This window comes from Homo sapiens, chromosome Y (genome assembly GCF_000001405.40).
Source record: "Homo sapiens chromosome Y, GRCh38.p14 Primary Assembly".
Classification (NCBI taxonomy): domain Eukaryota; kingdom Metazoa; phylum Chordata; class Mammalia; order Primates; family Hominidae; genus Homo; species Homo sapiens.
Window position 1 is genome coordinate 1,879,282 of NC_000024.10, and position 21,879 is coordinate 1,901,160.

A 21,879-nucleotide genomic window follows, 5' to 3' on the forward strand; every position below is an offset into this window, starting at 1 on the left:
TTGGGTGGGGACACCACAACACATGGGAATCATGGGAGATGCAATTCAAGATGAGATTTGGTTGGGGACACCACAATACATGGGAATCATGGGAGATACAATTCAAGATGAGATTTGGTTGGGGACACCACAATACATGGGAATCATGGGAGATACAATTCAAGATGAGATTTGGTTGGGGACACCACAATACATGGGAATCATGGGAGATACAATTCAAGATGAGATTTGAGTAGGGACACAGCCAAATCATATTAGAGTATAATTGGATTGTTTGTAACACAAAGGATAAATGCTTGAGGGCATGCAAGCTCCATTCTCCATGATGTGATTATGAAGCATTGCATGCTTGTATCAAAACATCCTCTCTGCACGGTGCATTGAACATGAATTATGCCATGTTGACTGTGTGTGATATCTGATGTATACAAAAACGGAGGTCAAGGCCCAAACACTGGGAGCACCAATGTCCAAGAGCATGAGAAGCTGGAGGTCCCGGTTCCAGGTAAGGAAAAGAGAATATAGTCTCCCTTCATCTGCATTTTCATTCTCTGCAAATCCCTCAGTGGAGAGGACAGTACCCATCCCCATTGGTGAGGGTGGTCTTTACTCAGTCTACCTATTGAAATGCTCATCTCTTCCCAAAACACCCTCGCAGACACACCCAGTCTGGGTGTGAAAAATGGGAGTTGAACAATGAGAACACATGGACACAGGGAGGGGAACATCACACACCAGGGCCTGCCGGGGGGTGGGGGGATAGGGGAGGGAGAGCATTAGGAGAAATACCTAATGTAGATGACAGGTTGATGGGTGCAGCAAACCACCATGGCACATGTATACCTGTGTAACAAACCTGCACGTTTTGCCCATGTACCCCAGAACTTAAAGCATAATAATAATAATAATAAAATCTCACGCACCCTAAATATATACACCTACTATATATCCACACAACATATACATAAATATATACACCTACCATGTACCCACAAAAGATAAAAATTTTAAAACACAAAGAGAAAGGAAACAGTGAAAATCAACAGACAGAGGTAAGAGACAACCTCCTATTCAGTGTTGCCGTGGTTCAGTAGAAAAATCCGTCTCACTTCAGGGCTGGAGAGACCCTCAGGGTCATCCATCATAGCCCACGGAGGTGCCATAAAAAATAATACTCAGGGATCTTCATCTTCAATAAATAAAGACTCTCTTTACCTTTCCGAGGTTGTAAAGAATCTTCAATGGACCGTGCCTTTCTCTTGGAAGTATCTTGGGTCTTCGCTGTCGAATTCCTAGGTCACGGAAGAAATTGTGTGAAAGGTAGAAGGTAAATTTTATTCTGGAATATAGGGTCCAGGAAAGGGGCTGGGGGCCTCATGAATCATCTGAAATTAGGTGCAAAACTTTGCACGTATGAGTATGTCTGCACCATGTCTAGATGGAGGGTTCTGAGCTTTCATCACATGTGGAAAGAGGTCTCAGAAAGCAAGCAAGAAAGAAAGCAAGCAAGAGTGAAAGAGGGGGTAGGGAGGGAAGGAGGAGGATGGGGGAGGAGCGAAAGAAACAGAAAGAAAGAAGGGAAAAAGAAAGAAAAAGAAGAAAGAAGGAAGGAAAGAAAGAAAGAAAGCAAGAAAGAAAGAAAGAGAAAAGAAAAGAAAGAAAGGAAGGAGGGAAGGAGGGAAGGAGGGAAAGAAGGAAGGAAAGAAGGAAAGAAGGAAGGAAGAGACAAAAGAAAAAAGGAAGGAAGGTAAAGAAAAAGAGAAAAGGAAAGAAGGAAGGAAAAGAGGAAACAAAAAAGGAAGGAAGGAAAGAAGGAAAAGCAAAAGAGGAAGGAAAAGAAAAGGAAGGAAGGAAAGAAAAGGAAAAGAGGGAAGGAAGGAAGAGAGGAAACATAAAAGGAAGGAAGGAAAGAAGGAAAAGAAAAAGAGGGAAGGAAGGAAAAGAGGAAACATAAAAGGAAGGAAGGAAAGAAGGAAAATAAGAGGAAGGAAGGAAGGAAAGAAGGAGTGAAGGAGGGAGGGAGGGAAGGAGGAAGGGAGGGAAGGAAGGAAGGAAGGAGCGAGAGAAGGAAGGAAGGAGCGAGAGAAGGAAGGAAGGACAGAGCAAGAGAAGGAAGGAAGGAGCGAGAGAAGGAAGGAAGGACAGAGCAAGAGAAGGAAGGAAGGAGCGAGAGAAGGAAGGAAGGAGCGAGAGAAGGAAGGAAGGACAGAGCAAGAGAAGGAAGGAAGGAGCGAGAGAAGGAAGGAAGGAGCGAGAGAAGGAAGGAAGGACAGAGCAAGAGAAGGAAGGAAGGAGCGAGAGAAGGAAGGAAGGAATGAAGGAATGAAGGAAGGAAGGAAGGAAGGGAGGCAAGGAGGGAAGGGAAGGGAAGGAAGGGATGGCGAAAGAAACAGAGAAATAAAAAGAAAGAGAAAATTTGAGGCTTCATAGAGAAGCAAGGGACTCTTGTCTGACCTTGGACCATGGGCTGATGTAAATATGGCTTCTCCCTTTCTTTCTCACAGGCAAATACGGCTGATTTCCCAGATGTTAGATTCCACTTCGGATTAAGGGCTGTTTCCTAGTAGCCTGTTGTGAAAATACAATCCACAGAGTGTAAATGAGCAAATTTTTAGAGTTTTCCTAAAGATCCCTACTTGTTATTTTACTAACAACTCCTGCTCCAAAGCACTGCTTGGCGAATCTCATGAAGTTCAGCTGGATCTGAAAGCAACTGAAATTCCCACAGTTTGGGGAAAAGGGGCTGTTATCAGGGCGTTGTGGGTTTCGTACATAGTCGGGATAGATGCAATTATGGCATCCCGATTACTTGTTATCCATTACAGTTAGTTCAGCATCGTGACTAACGATTGATTTAGTGTTCAGTATGGTATTTGGTTAGCAACACTGTGTGCAGTAAGTTGTAAATACTGCTTTCAGCATGATTTGGGCTAAAAGGATGTAGTCACTGTTTTCCAATTCAAATACAAATCACAAAAATGTGACCTCAGCATGGTGTTGATTTTTGAGAGGATACTTGTCCGAATATATTCCATTGACTGTTGTTTGTGCCTTTACCTTTTTTTTTTTTGAGGTGGAGTTTCCCTCTTGTTGCCCAGGCTGGAGTACGGTGGCGCCATCCTGGCTCACTGCAACCTCTGCCTCCCGGGTTCAAGCCATTCTCCTGCCTCAGCCGCCCGAGTAGCTGGAATTACAGGCATGCACTACCACAGCTGGCTAATTTTTTTGTCTCAAAAAAATATAATAATTATTAGGGAATTGTTTATTCTGTAATATTATTATTTATGTAAGTAATTTGTGAACATATCCAACTTTGAAATGTGTAATATTATATAAAGTTAAGCACCTCTTTTTTTGTCACCAGACAATGTCGTCATTCAGTAGGAAATGCTATTTTGAGATGTGTGTGCATGTGTGTGCGTGTGTACACACACAGTTTGTACACATAGATGTGTATACACTCAAACTGCGCATATGATATGTGTGTCTACAAATACATATTACTAACTCTATACGTCTGTATATATTTTTCTGTACATGTGAGACATATATAACATATATAATTATTAATAAGTGCTTATAGCAACATAGATTGCTTTTGTAAGTTTTGTAGATAAATTGTATCATATGGAGTATTTCGCAACTTGAATTATTTTTACTCCATAATATATTTGCAATCTCAATACGTTGAACAAGTTGACCTGGTTGATTCTGTGGTTCTTCACACATTTCTGTTTAATGATGGTACAGGGAATTGAACACTGACCTCTTACATCATCCTCAAACAGTTTTACTTTTACTGTTGTAGAATACATTGTTGCAAGCTTTTCTCCCTAAACACTCTTGCACCACACACGAATGTTACTTCATTGGCAGGATGTTGACTAGTTCTTGCCCGATATTTCCATTTCTTTTCTTTTTTTTTTTTTTTTTGAGAGAGAGTCTCGCTCTGTCACCCAGGCTGGAGTGCAGTGGTGCAATCTCAGCTCACTGCAACCTTCGCCTCCCGGGTTCAAGCAATTCTCCTGCCTCAGCCTCCCGAGTAGCTGGGATTACAGGCACCCACCACCATGCCTGGCTAATTTTTGTATTTTTAGTAGAGACGGGGTTTCACCATGTTGGCCAGGATGGTCTCGATCTCCTGATCTCAGGTGATCTGTCCACCTCGGCCTCTCAAAGTACTGGGATTCCAGGCGTGAGCCACCGTGCCTGGCCTCTTGTTTTGTTTTTAATTAGTTTGTGTGATTTTGTTTTACATGCATATCATGTAAACAGAATACAATCAGTCTTTTTTAAAAATATCTTCTCAGCATCATCAATTTAATTCTATTTTTCTTTATTAATCATCAGTACACCTGTGATCCCAGCTACTCAAAAGGCTGAGGCAGGAGAATCGCTTGAACCCAGGAGGTGAAGATTGCAGTGACCCAAGATGGAGCCACTGCACTCCAGCCTGGGTGACAGAGCGAGATTCCATCTCAAAACAAAAGAAAGCACGCTATTGATCTCACTTACCCCACAGAACAGTCCTGACTTCCTTCCTAGCTGCAGGAGGGAAATTGTGGAGAGCAGCCGTCTCCCATCCTTGGAGCTGTTTCCCTAAGTAAATCATGAGGCCACTTTTGCAGGAAATCCACACGCTGCCGGGAAGAGCTGATACAACTAAATTGAGAAAGCTCTTGGCTTCTGGTGACTCACAGCTGACTGACTGTTCCTTCCCCCTGAGCAATGAAGGTGAGTGCGGTGGGTGCTGTCCCGCTGGAATCACACAGTAGTGTCTGCCAGACACAGAGATGGAAGGGCGGATTGCTTCAGGAGCTTCCTGGGGTTCCTGCAAAAAAATGCCATAAATTCGGTGGCTAACACTACAAGAATCTATGCTCTCCCAGTCCTGGAAGCTGGTAGTCTCAGATCAAGGTATCTCAAGGACATGCTCCCTCCAGAGACTCTAGGGGAGGGTCCTTTCTGCCTCTGCCAGCTCCTGGGGGCTCCAGGTGTCCCTGGGCTTGTGGGTGCGTCACTTTAGTCTCTGCCTCTGTCTCCACATGGCCTTCTCCTCTGTGTCTGTCTCCTTTCTGTCTCTTAGAAGGACATCTGTCATTGATTTAGGGACCACACAGATAATTCAGGATGATCTCATCTTAAGGTCCTTTATTTAGTTACATCTGCAAACACCCCTTTTTCAAATAAGGTCTCAGTCACAGATTCTGAGGATCAGGACATGGACATACCTTTTTGGGGGATCACAGTTCAATCTACTTCACTTGTATCCAGTTCCCTCCAGAGGCTCTCAGGGAGGGTCCTTCCTGCCTCTCCCAGCTCCTGGGGGCTCCAGGTGTCCCTGTGCTTGTGGCCACATCACTCCAGTCTCTGCCTCCATCTCCATGCGGCCTTACCCTCTGTGTCTGTTCTCCTCCTCTGTCTGTTATAGAGACAGCAATGATTGGATTCATGGTCCATCTAATGCAGGATGATCTCATCTTAAAATATTTTACTACTTGCATCTGCAAGGATCTTATTTCAAAGTAAGCTCCCATTCACAAGTTCTGGGGGTGAGGGTGTGGACATATCTTTCTGGTGGACAATAGTTGAATTCATTACAATTTCATTTAGCCTTCTCTAGAGGCTCTAGGGGAGGGTCCTTCCTGCCTCTCCCAGCTCCTGGGGGCTCCAGGCATCCCTGGGCTTGTGGCCGCATCACTCCAGTCTCTGCCTCCGTCTCCATGTGGCCTCATCCTCTGTGTCTCCTCTTCTGTCTTTTAGAAGGACATCTGTCGTTGTATTTAGGACCCACCCTAATCCAGGATGATCTCATCTTAAGTTAGTTTCACCTGCAAAAAAAAAAAAAAAATTGTTTCCAAACAGGGTTTCACTCGTAGGTACTGGGACTCAGGATTTGCACCCCTTCTGTTTGCCACGATCCTTTATCTCTTCAGCATCCAGCAGCCTGCTGCACACTGCTGTGGACTAATAAAGGCATGAGGGAGACGATCGGAGAAAGAGAATACGGCAGAAGTGTGAGTCAGACTCCGGGGGCGATGGAACGGTGGAGATGCAGAAATGCAAATTTGCAAATTCGTGTACCCATTTGCTTTGCCCTGGAGCCCAGCGCAGAGCTGGGGAAGGCAGCTCCGCGGAAGGCAGAGCCCTGCTCTGCCTGGGGTGAGCTCATGGAAGCATTCCAGAAAACAGTGATTAGGCACCTACTGTGTATCAGGCACCATGGAGGTCCTCAGAACGCAAGAGTGAGCCAAGTGCGTCCACAGGCTGAGAAGGTAGATGATGGCAAAGGGCGTCAACACCTCTGGGCTGGGGACAGGCTTAAAATTGGGGAAGAGACTCAGGGGGCCTTGAGCATCATCTGGTATCACACAGGCACCCTAGAGAGAGAAGGTGAGTTGGAGATGTTTCTCATTTAGAAAAATAAACTGAGGTCTCTCGGCCAGCACGCATTTAATTTTACATAAACATGTTCCATCATAAATCTAACTGATTTTCAACATGAACGTAAAATATAAAACCTGCTCTAGGATTTATTTCTAAAAAGACGTTACATCAGAATCGCCTGAATCATCAGACTCATCTGGTTTGGAAAAATTGGATTCATCCAACAAACCTTCAGCCAACAACTGTTGTAGAACGATGTTAATATCACATGCGGCAATGATATGTTTTCTAGGATTCGACATTTTCAGCGATCGAGAATGATTATATTTCAAATGGAAATACCACTATTAAGACAGAATGGTATAAATAGGATGACGTCTTCCGTTTCCAAAGTTGACATATTAGAATGATGAGAAAATAATCATAAAAATGAGATACTGAGGCTGAGCACGGTGGTCATCCCAGCACTTTGGGAAGCCGAGGTGGACGGATCACCTGAGGTCAGGAGTTCAAGACCAGCCTGGCCAAGACGGTGAAACCCCATCTCTACTAAAAATACAAAAATTAGCCCGACGTGGTGGCGGGCGCCTGTAATCCCAGCTACTCGGAAGGCTGAGGCAGGTGAATTGCTTGAACCCAGGAGGCGGAGGTTGCAGTGAGCCGAGATCACAACCATTGCACTCCAGCCTGGGTGACAGAGCGAGGATCCATCTCAAAAAAAACAAAAGATACGTGTGGCAGTGTTATCTCAGAGTAAATGCTGCTGCCACAAGTACAGCCCGTGAGTATTCTCGGGGCAAACAGGAAGAGGGTTGAAGCTAGAGAGACACTCGCTCTTCCCACCACCTCTTAATGTCCTATTTGTGCTTCAAGGACACTCGGTCCCTTGTTGTTATATCCATAAATCCCTTCTCCTCCCAGCCCAGCAGTGAGGGCCCCATTGCCCATTACCTATCTATAGGGAACCAGCCCTGCAGGCATGCAGAGACCCCTGAGACAGTCTTCCTCATGTCCCCTCATCATAGCCCCAAAAGCTAACACCCAGGGATGGGCTGTAACCCGCTTGAGGTTAGAAGGTCACTGACGTTACAGGAGTCCGCACTGACACCCAGGGGCCCTGACTCCTGGCACGCTGGATATTGTTGAGAGGCAGAGGCTGCTCTGGGACACACCTGTTCTTACCTGGTCCCCAGGATCCGGGTCTTTTGAACAGGGCTGCTTTGCACGATACCCTCAGGTACCTGCCTCCCAGGGCTCTGTCCTTCTCAGATGGCTCAGGGCTGTGGTTCCTGGGAAAAGCTTCGGGATGAGGTTTCCTGCCATGTTTCCCCATGGGTCAGAATAATGTCATATTGATTGTGGAAATCAGCAGCACTGCTTACTTTTTTTTTTTTTTTCAGGCGGAGTCTCGCTCTGTCACCGAGGCTGGAGTGCAGTGGTGCAATCTCTGCTCACTGCAACCTCTGCCTCCTGGGTTCAAGTGATTCTCCTGACTCAGCCTCCCGAGTAGCTGGGACTATGGGCTCCCACCACCACGGCCAGATAATTTTTGTATTTTTAGTAGAAATGGGGTTTTGCCAAGTTGGCCAGGCTGGTCTCGAACTGCTGACCTCAGGTGATCCGCCCACCCCAGCTAATTTTTGTATTTTTAGTAGACACGGGGTTTCACCATGTTGGCCAGGCTGGTCTCGAACTCCTGACCTCGTGATCCGCCCGCCTTGGCCTCCCAAAGTGCTGGAATTACAGGCTTGAGCCACCGCACCTGTCCTAGGTATGTTCGTTTAACAATACCGTAGGGTATACTTAAATATTTGTTAGGCTCAATTCCTGGTGGCTTAGTCATTCTGCCCTGGGGATTGTCCTTGCTTCACACTGGTTCCAGAAACTCCTCACGGCCCCCACAATGAATTCCTGGTGGCTTAGTCATTCTGCCCTGGGGATTGTCCTTGCTTCACACTGGTTCCAGAAACTTCTCACCGTCCCCACAATGAATTCCTGGTGGCTTAGTCATTCTGCCCTGGGGATTGTCCTTGCTTCACACTGGTTCCAGAAACTTCTCACCGTCCCCACAATGAATTCCTGGTGGCTTAGTCATTCTGCCCTGGGGATTGTCCTTGCTTCACACTGGTTCCAGAAACTTCTCATCACCCCCACAATGAATTCCTGGTGGCTTAGTCATTCTGCCCTGGGGATTGTCCTTGCTTCACACTGGTTCCAGAAACTCCTCACGGCCCCCACAATGAATTCCTGGTGGCTTAGTCATTCTGCCCTGGGGATTGTCCTTGCTTCACACTGGTTCCAGAAACTTCTCACCGTCCCCACAATGAATTCCTGGTGGCTTAGTCATTCTGCCCTGGGGATTGTCCTTGCTTCACACTGGTTCCAGAAACTTCTCATCACCCCCACAATGAATTCCTGGTGGCTTAGTCATTCTGCCCTGGGGATTGTCCTTGCTTCACACTGGTTCCAGAAACTTCTCACCGTCCCCACAATGAATTCCTGGTGGCTTAGTCATTCTGCCCTGGGGATTGTCCTTGCTTCACACTGGTTCCAGAAACTTCTCATCACCCCCACAATGAATTCCTGGTGGCTTAGTCATTCTGCCCTGGGGATTGTCCTTGCTTCACACTGGTTCCAGAAACTTCTCATCACCCCCACAATGAATTCCTGGTGGCTTAGTCATTCTGCCCTGGGGATTGTCCTTGCTTCACACTGGTTCCAGAAACTTCTCACCGTCCCCACAATGAATTCCTGGTGGCTTAGTCATTCTGCCCTGGGGATTGTCCTTGCTTCACGCTGGTTCCAGAAACTTCTCATCGTCCCCACAAAGGGAGCAGATTACGTACAGCACGTGGTGGTTGACTCCGCAATGACACTCAGGTTTAGACGAATGAGGACAGCTTATCTCCTTATCGTCCCACTCCTCACTCCGGTTATCTGTACCCTTCTGTCTTTATATCCAGCTTTGCCTGTGCTGAGAAGCAGCCTCTCAAGGCCAGAAGTAAGAATAGTCTGATTCTGACTTGCTGACAAATTGCTGGTTCTTGGAATTGTGTGGCAGGTGTATTTGCCAAACCACTTACAAAAAAAAGTTAGGGTGGATTTTATGTTATGTGATTTTTACCACATTAATAATAATTATTAATAAAGCCTTTAGTGACTTCCTTATAAATCTCCCTTTTTTTTTTTTTTTTTTTTTTAAGACAGAGTCTCACTCTGTCACCCAGGCTGGAGTGCAGTGGCACAATATCGGCTCACTGCAAGCTCCGCCTCCCAGGTTCACGCCATTCTCCTGCCTCGGCCTCCCAAGTAGCTGGGACTACAGGCGCCCGCCACCACGCCCGGCTGATTTTTTGTATTTTTAGTAGAGATGGGGTTTCACCGTGTTAGCCAGGATGGTCTCGACCTCCTGACCTCGTGATCCGCCCGCCTAGGTCTCCGAAAGTGGTGGGATTACAGGCGTGAGCCACCGCGCCCAGCCGTAAATCTCTTATATGAACTGTGAACAAACATCACCTAGGAGATGGGAAAAGACCCATCTCCCTTCAATATGCAGCCGTACAATCATAGAGAGGAGGCCCTGTTTCTGTTCCATTCATTCGGTTTTCATTTTATTGTATTAATCTTTATTTATTTTTGAGACAGGGTGTTGTTGCAGTTTCGCCCAGGCTGGAGTCATCCTCCTGCCTCAGCCTCCCAAGTAGCTAGGACTACAGACATGGGCCACCCGTGCCTGCCTGGCTAAATCGTTTTTGGATGTTTTCCCTCTCAGAGGTCCAGACACCAACTAACTTGGAAATCTAGGGCTCCAGGATGGGTGACGTGTGTTATTCTATTTTGCATCGAAAAGAGGCTGTCTCTTTGTTTGTTTGTTTTGAAACACAGTCTCACTCTGTTGCCCAGACTGGAGTGCAGTGGCATGATCTCAGCTCACTGCAACCTCCACCTCCCGGGTTCAAGCCATTCCCTTGCCTCAGCCTCCCGAGTAGCTGGGATTACAGGTGCCCACCACCCTGCCCAGGAAATGCTATTTTGAGATGTGTGTGTATGTGTGTGTCTATGTGTGTGTGTGTGTGTGTGTGTACAAACTGTGTTTGTACATGTAGATGTGTATATACTCAAACTGTGCATATGATATGTGTGTCTATAAATACATATTACTAACTCTATACGTCTGTATATATTTTTCTGTACATGTGAGACATATATAATATATATAATTATTAATAAGTGCTTATAGCAACATAGATTGCTTTTGTAAGTTTTGTAGATAAATTGTATCATACGGAGTATTTCACAACTTGAATTATTTTTACTCCATAATTTTTACACCATGCCGAGGTAGTTTTTTTGTATTTTTAGTAGAAATGGGGTTTCCCCATGTTGCCCAGGCTGTTCTCAAACCCCTGACCTCAAGCGATCCACCCACCTCAGCCTCCCAAAGTGCTGGGATTCCAGACGTGAGCCACCCCGCCTGGTTCATTGTGTTTTCAAAAACCCTCCAACCTGTTGCTAATGACATTGTTGATGAAATACAATCGCTCAAATTATCCAAAATTATTTTCAACAGGGACACACTAGGAAAACACAGCTGTATTTACTTTCAGCATCTGCATTTATGCATTTCCCACCAAAAATCACATGATTACAGTCAGCACGCAACGCAACGATGTCAATTGTGCCGGGCTGTGGGATTGGGTGCACTGAGAATAGTGCAGTCAGTTGGAGTTGAGTCCTTCTGGCCCCTTCGGAACAGCACTGGAGAGAAGAAACATCACCAGGCTAAAATAAATACTTGGAGAGTCCAAAAGAAGGTGCATTTTGGACGGCTATATTTTTAACACGTTTTTGAAAACTCACGCATGTAACAGAGTCTCAGGTGATCTGCCCTTGTGGTTCACACTTTTATCTCCTGTCACTTGAACCTGGGAGGCGGAGGCTGCAGTGAGCCGAGGTTGTGCCACTGCACTCCAGCCTGGGTGACAGAGAGAGACTCTGTCTCAAAAACAAATAAATAAAACGAGAATGAATGGTTTCTAGGGCATGACTTTCCAGCTCCCTTAGATAGGCATTTGGGCAAGATTAAAGAAAAAAAAAAAGACAGAGCTTCGTCCTCACGTTAATGTGACCCTTCCATCAGATTGATGAAAAGTAATGGCGGTTTTTGCCATTGCTTTTGTGAACCCTGAAAACGTCAGACAGGTGGCGGTAAGTTTAGAAAGTTTATTTTTTCAGGGTTGACGACGGGCACCTGTGACACACCCTCAGGAGGTCCCGATGACATGTACCCAAGGTGGTTGGGGCAAAACTTGGTTTTATACATTTTAGAAAGGCATGAGACATCAATCAACATATGTAAGAAGTACATTGGTTCAGTCTGGGAAGGTGGGACGAGTTCAAACAAAGGCAGGAAGACTCTAAGCGGGAAGGGGGTTTCCAGATCACAGATAGATAAGAGACAAATGGCTGCGTTATTTTGAGTTTCTGATGAGCGTTTCTAAAGGAGGCAATCAGATTTGCATCTATCTGAGTGAGCAGAGGGGCAACTTTGAATAAAGTGGGAGGCAGGTTGGCCCTAAGCAGCTCCCAGCTTGAATGGAGACTGGAAGCAGGGAGGGGGATTCCAGGTCCAGAGAGATGAATGACTACATTCTTATATATATATTATATATTTAGTGTGTGTATATATATATTTTATATATATATATATATATAAGTTCTAGGGTACATGTGCACAACGTGCAGGTTTGTTACATAGGTATACATGTGCCATGTTGGTTTGCTGCACCCATTAACTCGTCATTTACATTAGGTATATCTCCTAATGCTCTCCCTCCCCCATCCCCCCCCCCCCAACGACAGGCCCCGGTGTGTGATGTTCCCCACTCTGTGTCCAAGTGTTCTCATTGTTCAATTCCCATCTATGAGTGAGAACGTGCAGTGTTTGGTTTTCTGTCCTTGCGATAGTTTGCTCAGAAAGATGGTTTCCAGCTTCATCCATGTCGGTACAAAGGACATGAATTCATCCTTTTTTATGGCTGCATAGTATTCCATGGTGTCTATGTGCCACGTTTTCTTAATCCATTCTATCATTGATGGACATTTGGGTTGGTTCCAAGTCTTTGCTATTGTGGACAGTGCCGCAATAAACATACATGTGCATGTCTCTGTATAGTAGCATGATTTATAATCCTTTGGGTATATACCCAGTCATGGGATGGCTGGGTCAAATGGTATTTCTGGTTCTAGATCCTTGAGGAATGGCCACACTGTCTTCCACAATGGTTGAACTAGTTTACACTCCCACCAACAGTGCAAAAGCGTTCCTATTTCTCCACATCCTCTCCAGCACCTGTTGTTTCCTGACTTTTTAGTGATCGCCTGAATGGCTACATTCTTTTGAGTGTCTGATGACCCTTTCCAAAGGAGGCAACTAGATATGGCATCTGTCTCAGTGAGCACAGGGGTAACTTTGAATAAAATGGGAGGCAGGTTGGCCGTAAGCAGCTCCCAGCTTGAAGGGGCCCAAAGTACTTTCCTTTCACCCCTTTTAATGGGAAAAACTGCAGTGACTGTTGCACCAACCCAGTACATGTGGCGAATTAGCCTGCATGAGACCCATGGACGATGAGACTCTTTGAAAATAAGAATTTATGGGCTGGGCACGGTGGCTCATGCCTGTAATCCCAGCACTTTGGGAACCCGAGGCGGGTGGATCACCTGAGGTCAGGAGTTCGAGAACAGCTGGCCAACGTGGAGAAACCCCGTCTCTACTGAAAAACACGGGGTTTTGATTGTGAGGTCTCCCCAGCCATGTGGAACTGTGAGTCCATTAAACTGTTTTTTCTTTCTTTATAAATTAACCAGTCTTTATTATAAATTATTATATATAAAAAATTATTATATATAAAAAATTATAAATTTTTTCTTTCTTTATAAATTAACTAATCTTTATTAGCAGTGCGAGAACAGACTAATACACCAGGTAAGTATGTAGAGAATTATCCATGAATCCTTATATCCCGAAATAATTACTGCGTGCCCCCAACCCTGAGAAAACCAGCAGCTTGCTAAGAGCCTCCGTCTCTCTGTCTCTGCCTCCCTCTCTGTCTCTCTGTCTCTGCCTCCCTCTCTGCCTCTCTGTCTCTGTCTCCCTCTGTGTCTCTCTGTCTCTGTGTCTCTGTACTTTTTTTTTTTTTTTAGACAGAGTCTTGCTCTGTCACCCAGGCTGGAGTGCAGTGGCATGATCTCAGCTCACTGCAACCTCTGCCTCCTGGGCTCCAGCAATTGTCCTGCCTCAGCCTCCCAAGTAGCTGGGACTACAGGCGTACAACACCACGTCTGGCTAATTTTTGTGATTTTTTTATTTTTCATTTTTGAGATGGAGTCTCGCTCTGTCACCCAGGCTAGAGTGCAGTGGCACAATCTCAGCTCACTGCAAGCTCCGCCTCCCTGGTTTAAGCCATTTTCCTACCTCAGCCTCCCGAGTAGCTTGGACTACAGGTGCCCGCCACCATGCCCAGCTAATTTTTTTTTTTTTTTTTTTTGTATTTTTAGTAGAGACAGGGTTTCACCGTGTTAGCCAGGATGGTATCGATCTCCTGACCTTGTGATCTGCCTGCGTCGGCCTCCCAAAGTGCTGGGATTACAGGCGTGAGCCACCGCGCCCAACCAATTTCTGTGATTTTAGTAGAGACGGGGTTTCACCATGTTGGCCAGGCTGGTCTCAAACTCCTAACCTCAAATGATCCACCCACCTCGGCCTCCCAAAGTGCTGGGATTACAGGAGTGAGCCACCGTGCCCAGCCAAGACCTCATATTTTATGGGGACAGCACAACAGACCCTAACTATCCTTCAGAGTTCCACTCTGCGTCCAGGAATACGTAGTGATGACAAGCTTGGGCACCTGCCTGAGCGCCAGAGACTTGGAACTCCATTAATTCCAGACCGCTTTGTGCTCTAAAATTCAGAATCCAATGGCAAAACCATCATCACTGCCAGAAAGACACCTGGTGGAGTCATAAGCCTCACACTCATTTTTCTCCTCCTCTCATTTCTATTCATAGATCATCCCCAGGGTGGGATTGAAATCCACATTCTCCACAATCTGGATTTTTTCCAAGTCATCATTTATTAGCAGCATCTTGTGAAATCTCCTCCTAAGAAAGCAGATACGGTAAGAGTCACAATCTCTTAACGAATTTATCTGTAAGTCTCCGAGGAGTTCATTTTCTCCCTTTGCCTCTGATCCGGTTCATATGGCGCAATCATCTTGTCCGCTGTGTGGCCATTCGAGCCGTCCACAGGAAGGGGCAGCTAAGTTCATTTAACTGTGACTCCCCGTTAAGGCTGCAGTAGCCCCATGTGCTCTGGTCCCGGCCAAGGCGTGGCGAGCTACCGCCCCATGCCCGCCGGACACAGAAGGAAAATCAAGCAGGGGAGGTGCCTGTCTGATGGTGGCGGCTCCTTCCTCACGGCCACTGCCCTCCTACCAGCCCGGTTCAGCCTGTCCTCCCCTCTCCTACTGCTTCTCTCTCATCCCTTTCCCTGTCTCTTTCTGTGTCTTCCTTCTCTCTCTCTTTTCTCTGTCTCTCTGTCTCTCTCTCTCTTTCTCCCCTGCTCCCAGTCTCTCTCTCTGTCTCCTTCCCTCTCAGTCCCTCTCTGTCTCCCTGTCTGCCTCGGTCTCTCTGTCTATGTCCCCCCTCTGTCTCTGTCACTGCCTCTGTCTCTCTGTCTCTGTCCCCTCTCTGCCTGTCTCTATCTCTGTCTCTCTCTCTGTCTCTGTCTCTCTTCTCTGCCTCCCTCTGTCTCTCTGCCTCTCTCTGTCTCTCTCTCTGCCTCTGTCTCTCTCTCTGCTTCTCTCTGTCTCTGCCTCCCTGTCTCTCTGCTTGTCTCTCTGTCTCTGTCTCCCTCTCTGCCTGTCTCTGTCTGTCCCTATCTCTGTCACTCTGTCTCTGTCTCCCTGTCTCTCTGTCTCTGCCTCCCTGTCTCTCTGCATGTCTCTCTGTCTCTGTCTCCCTCTCTGTCTCTCTGTCTCTCCCTCTCTGTCTCTGCCTCCCTCTCTGTCTCTCTTTTTCCTGCTGCAATTTCACATTCTCCACGAGTCACTGGCGTCCTGGACTTCCCATGAGAGAATGTCTGAGGCCGGCAGAATGAAATGCTGGGACGGACACAGCTTCATCCGTGCCTAACGAACAGCTGTCAGCGTCGCGCTGAAATCCTCCCGTGTCCGTGCCGGCTGCATTTGAGTCCCATCATTTCCTCGAGCAAATATTAAAGAATCAAGATTGCATTGTATCATCGCTGCGTGCCTTTTCTCTGAACGTCTGAGATTGTGACTAGAGGCATTTGAATACAAGGATGACTGCTGGCAGAGGGGTACATCACAGGTCATCTCATGATTTGGCAGCATTCAGTCACGTATCCTTGATTGCTAAGTGACCAGAGGCTGGGCTGGGCTGGCTTTTAAATGGTGGTCATTTTTGAGTTATTACTGGAAGCTGAAGGATTTGGTTTAAATAGGCAGCTGCTTTAAAATAGATTTGTTTCAGAGAAACCCCAATAGAATTCATTTAACGTTTCCATCAAATGATCATAGTCATTACCCGAATGATTGTAATTCTCCCGGGAAAGCTGTTCCTTTTTCTTCTGGAAAATCAGAATATACCAAAATGGTCAGTACCTTGCTATTTTCGTGGCAATGACTAAAACCTGGACTGATGTTGCTAACCCTTTATTTTTCCATGATTACGATTTCCATCATTAGGTACCTGTCTTACCTCCCTACACACACAGGTGCATGCAGGCATATGCACGCACAGACACACAAATACATGTGTACACACACACACAGACACACACAAAGATACACAGAGACACACACATAGACACACACACGTGTACACACAGACACAGACACACACACATATGTACACATACAGACACACACAGACACATACAGACACACACAGACACACAGACACAAACATACACAGACAGACACACACAGACACAGACACACACAAAGACACACACACAAACACACATACACAGACACACAAAGACACACACAAACACACAGAGACACATACAGACACAAAGACACACACAGACACACACAAACACACACAGACACAGACACATACAGAGACACACACACAAACACACAGACATAGACACACAAAGACACACACACACACACAGACACACACACAGGCACACACACACACACAGACACACACACAGTGTCTCAGTTCTACAGAATCCAGAAATCACCCTCTTGTCTTCTGTTTAACCAAAGTCAACAAGTAAACATGATTTCCTATGTCCTCTGTTTCTTTTTATTTTTCGTTTTTTTTTTGAGGTGGAGTTTCACTCTTGTTGCCCAGGCTGGAGTGCAGTGGCTGGATCTCGGCTCACTGCAACCTCTGCCTCCCGGGTTCAAGCAATCCTCCTGCCTCAGCCTCCCCAGTAGCTGGGATTACAGGCACCCGCCACCACGCCTGGCTAATTTTTGTATTTTTAGTAGAGACGGGGTTTCACCATGTTGGTCATGCTGGTCCCAAACTCCTGACCTCAGGTGATCCACCTGCCTCAGCCTCCCAAAGTGCTGGGATTACAGGCATGAGCCACTGCGCCCGGCCTGTCCTCTGTTTCTTTAAATGAAAAGAAAGATGATAGCTAAGAGAGTGTGTTCACGTTGCATTGATTTATATGATTCTCATCACCTTGAGTATATATTATCCTGATAAGACAATTATCATAATTCCTTGTATTACTATTCTCACACTGCCGTAACAAAATATCAGAGACTGGGAGGGTTAAACAGCAGACATTGATTCTCCCACAGTCCTGGAGGCTGGAAGTCCGAGATCAAGATGTGAGCTGGGCTGATTCCTCCTGAGGCCACTCTCCTTGGCTTGTAGATGACGTCTTCTCCTGTGTCTTCAAAGGGTCGCCCCTTTATGTGTGTCTGTGTCCTCGTCTCCTTTTCTTATGAGGTGTCTTAGTCCATCTCAGGCTGCTATCACAGAATACCATAGACTGGGTGGCTTAGAAACAACAGACATTGATTCTCCCACAGCCCTGGAGGCTGGACGTCCAAGATCAAGGTGTGGGCAGGGCTGGTTCCTCCTGAGGCCTCTCTCCTGGGCTTGGAGATGCCGTCTTCTCCCTGTGCCCTCACAGGGTCGTCCCTCTGTGTGTGTCTGTGTCCCCATCTCCTCTCCTTATGAGATGGCTTAGTCCATCTCAGGCTGCTGTCACAGAATACCAGAGGCTGGGTGGCTTATAAACAGCAGACATTGATTCTCCCACAGTCCTGGAGGCTGGAAGTCTGAGATCCAGGTGTGGGCAGGGCTGGTTCCTCCTGAGGCCTCTCTCCTGGGCTTGGAGACACCATCTTCTCCCTGTGTCCTCACAGGGTCTCCCCTCTGTGTGTGTCTGTGTCCTCATGTCCTCTTCTTATAAGGACCCCAGTCCTATTGGATAAGGGCCCACCCTACTGACCTCATTTTACCTTAATCCCCTCTTTAAACACCCCAACTCCAAACACAGTCACATCTTGAGGTCCTGGGGGTCAGGGGTTCAACCTAGGAATTTAGTGAGACACAGTTCCGTTCATAATACTCATCTTTTCCCGAGAAAGGAAAAACTTCCAAAGATGAAAATGACTTCTGCAAGGACACACAACCCAGGCGGGCCTGGCGTTGAAAGCCAGGTCCAAGAAGCTGACCAGCTTCAAGGTCAATGACTTCCTCTTGCGCTGGAAAGGATTCCTGTCAAGCCACCTCTTTCCTGAGCAAAGAGCTTGGAAATCCACATGTGGAAATTGCATTTTTATTACAGACTCTCCACCAGGGTGTAGATGTCCAATGAGAATGCAAAAGCATGGTCTGCCGTTATCATCAATCCAGCCTCGGCTGTCTTGGAATTCACGCCGTGCCTCTGGGCCACGCATTGGCTTATGTATCCAGCAATTCTTTATGGAATGCCTACTTGAGCTAGGCGCAGGGGCGCTGAAGGTGACTAAACTAGGTGGTTCAGGGAGACACACTGGGAAGAAAGGGAATGGATTAACCGTAGGTACCCAAGTCATTGAGGTTTCAGCATCTCCTGCAGAGGAATCAAGGGGACACTGAATGCATAAAAACAGACGATAATCGGCCGGGCGTGATGGCTCACGCCTGTCCTCCCGGCACTTTGGGAGGCTGAGGCGGTCAGTCAGATCACCTGAGGTCAGGAGTTTGAGACCAGCCTGGCCAACATGGTGAAACCCTGTCTCTACCAAAAATACAAATGTCAGCCGGGCGTGGTGGTGGGCGCCTGTAATCCCACCTACTCGGGAGGCTGAGGCAGGAGAATCGCTTGAACCCTGGAGGCAGAGGTTGTGGTGACTTGAGATAGCCCATTGCACTCCAGCCTGGCAACAGAGCGAGACTCCGTCTAAAACACAAAACAAAACAAAAACTCACGAAAAAAACAACAAAGAACAAGAACAAAAACAAATGGTAAATGTAGGTACCCAAGTCATTGAGGTTTCAGCATGTCCTGCAGAGGAATCAGGGAGATCCCAGATGCTTGAAAACAGAGGATAATTAATAAATAGGCTACGTATCATGTCCCTGGGCACTCAGCCACAATGCACCTGCTTTCATCTATGCATTGGGTTATCACACCTGACTGTCAGGAGTGCTGGATTGTGGGCTATGAGAATTGATCCCCAGCGAGGCACGAGTCAAATCCAACCTCTGACTCATCAACCCTATTCCAGCATGTTCTCACTGAGCCTGATTATGCCAGGTGAGGCCAGAGGGTAGAGAGAAAAAGGTGAGCCCTTCTGATGCAGGGCAGGTGAGCCCCTACATCAGGGTAACCTAAGAGGGTTCTTAGCTTTGCCCAGAAAAGAATTCAAGGGCGAGCCGGTGGTGTTAGACAGCAACTTTTTTTTTTTTTGAGATGGGGTCTCACTCTATCATCCAGGCTGGAGTGCAGTAGCGCAATTATTTATTAATTATCCTCTGTTGTTGCCCAGGCTGGAGTGCAGTGGCGTGATCTCAGCTCACTGCAGCCTCCACTTCCCGGGTTCAAGCAATTCTCCTGCCTCAGCCTCACGATTAACTGGATCTACAGGCACGCACCACCACGCCCAGCTAATTTTCGTATTTTTAGTAGAGACGGGGTTTCACCATGTTGGCCAGGCTGGTCTCGAACTCCCGACCTCAAGTGATTTGCCCGCCTCGGCCTCCCAAAGTGCTGCGATTACTGGCCTTAGCCACCGCGCTGGGCCTACACAGCAGGTTTTATTGAAGCATCCTGGCCGTGCACAGCAGCGGCAAACGCTTGGATCCTTCCAGAGCGGGGCTACCCCGTAGGCAATGCACCTGGAGCAGAAGCTTAGAGGCAGTTCTACAGGCATATTGATACCCACTGCTAATTACATGCAAATGAAGGGGCGGTGATGCAGAAATTTCTAGAAAAAGGGCGGTAACGTCCGGATCATTGGATTGTTGCCATGGCAACGGTAAACTGACATGGCACACTGGTGGGTGTGTCTGACACAGAGGTGCTTCTGCCCTGTACCTGTTTTAGTTAGTCCTACCTCACTCTTTTTTTTTTCTGAGATAGAGTCTGGCTCTGTCACCCAGGCTGGAGTGCAGTGGCACGATCACACCTCACTGCAGCCTCAACCTCCTGGGCTCAAGCGAGTCTCCCGTCTCAGCCTCCCGATGAACTGGGACTATAGGCGTGCGCCACCACGACCAGATAATTTTTGTATTTTTAGTAGAGATGGGGTTTTGCCATGTTGGCTGAAGGGGGCCAGCCCCTCCACCCCTGTGGGTATTTCTCATCAGGTGGACACAAGAGACTGAGAAAAGACATAAGACACAGAGACAAAGTATAGAGAAAGAATAGTGAGTCCAGGGGACCGGCACACTCAGCATGTGAGGTCCTGCACCAGCGCTGGTCTCTGAGTTCCGTCAGTATTTATTGATAACTATTTTCACTATCTTGGCAAGGGGAGTGTGGCAGGAGAATAGGGTGATGGTGGGGAGAATGTCAGCAGGAAGACATGTGAGGAAAGGAATCTGCATCATAAATAAGTTCAAGGGAAGGTACTGTGCCCGGATGTGCACGTAGGCTAGAGTTATGTTTCTCTTTACCCAAACATCTCAGTGTAGCGAAGAGTAACAGAGTAGGATTGCTGCCAGCATAGCTCGCCTCCAGCCACAGGGCAGTTTTCTCCTATCAGAATAGAAGGAATGGTCGGCTTTACATGGAGACATTCCATTCCCGGGGACATGCGGGAAATAGAGGCCTTCCTCTTATCTCAACTGCAAAGAGACCTCCCTCGTTTACCAATCCTCCTCAGCACAGACCCTTTATGGGTGTCGGGCTGGGGGATGGTCAGGTCTTTCCCTCTCCATGAGGCCATATCTCAGGCTGTCTCAGTGGGGGGAAACCTCGGACAATACCCAGGCTTTCTCGGGCAGAGGTCCCTGCGGCTTTCCGCAGTGCATGGTGTCCCTGGTTAATGGAGAATGGAGAATGGCGATGACTTTTACCAAGCAGGCTGCCTGCAAATCTATTGTTAACAAGACACAGCACATGTTTCTGTGAGCACACGGTTAAGGCTGAAGTTACAGGTTAACAGCATCTCAAAGCAGAACAATTTTTCTTAGTACAGATCAAAATGGAGTTTCTTATGTCTTCCTTTTTCTACACACACATAGTAACAGTCTGATCTCTCTTTTTTTTCCCCACAGCTGGCCAGGCTGGTCTCGGACTCCTGACCTCAGGTGATCCACCCACCTCGGCCTCCCAAAGTGCTGGGATTTACAGGTGCGAGCCACCACGCCCGGCCGCTCTTCCTCATTTCTATTGAATTGATTTCTGTAAATGTTCAAGAGCATTTCACAAATAAAGTATTTTGGAGTCTTGCTCTGTCGCCAGGCTGGAGTGCAGTGGCATGATCTCAGCTTACTGCAAGTTCCGCCTCTCGGGTTCAAGCGATTCTCCTGCCTCAGCCTCCCAAGTAGGTGGGACTACAGGTGTGCACCATGACGCCGAGCTAATTTTTTTTTTTTTTTTTTGTATTTTAGTAGAGACGGGGTTTCACCATGTTGGCCAGGATGGTCTCAATCTCCTGACCTCGTGATCCACCCACCTCAGCCACCCAAAGTGCTGGGATTGCAGGCGTGAGCCACCCGTGCCCTGCCCCTATTGGCTTATTTATTTAATTTTGTGCTGACACAGGAAGGCTGCTGGAGATTAAATATTCACTCTCCACTGTGGCTTTGAGGAATATAAAATTTCCGTTTTCACCCCATTTGCTATTTTCTGCCTTAAATTCACACTTGAATTTGCCTAAGGTCTTTACATATAGAGTGTCCAGTAGGTCATGTACAGTGAAGGTTTGGTCTTTCACTCAACTGAAGTGTATTCTTATTGTTGTGATTGTTCTTTGAATGGCATACTTTGACACATTTGCA

At 47.0% G+C, this 21,879-nt stretch overlaps 1 long non-coding RNA gene across 1 annotated transcript, besides 1 other annotated feature; it reads right to left on the reverse strand.

The window, feature by feature from the left end:
- Positions 1-233: 233 nt before the first annotated feature.
- LOC107985677 (uncharacterized) lies at positions 234-6,546 on the reverse strand. Its single transcript, XR_007068481.1, has 6 exons — positions 6,208-6,546; positions 5,232-5,831; positions 4,516-4,831; positions 3,058-3,184; positions 2,455-2,568; positions 234-1,292 (listed from the first exon to the last, which is right to left on the reverse strand). It is a non-coding gene; the product is annotated as an uncharacterized LOC107985677 (long non-coding RNA).
- Positions 8,350-9,137: an enhancer, noted in NCBI's record as "H3K27ac hESC enhancer chrY:1956524-1957311 (GRCh37/hg19 assembly coordinates)". NCBI's record gives its function as "activates a minimal SCP1, AML or CMV promoter by ChIP-STARR-seq in primed H9 embryonic stem cells {active_cell/tissue: H9 hESC(primed)}" and the evidence as "EXISTENCE:reporter gene assay evidence [ECO:0000049][PMID:30033119]".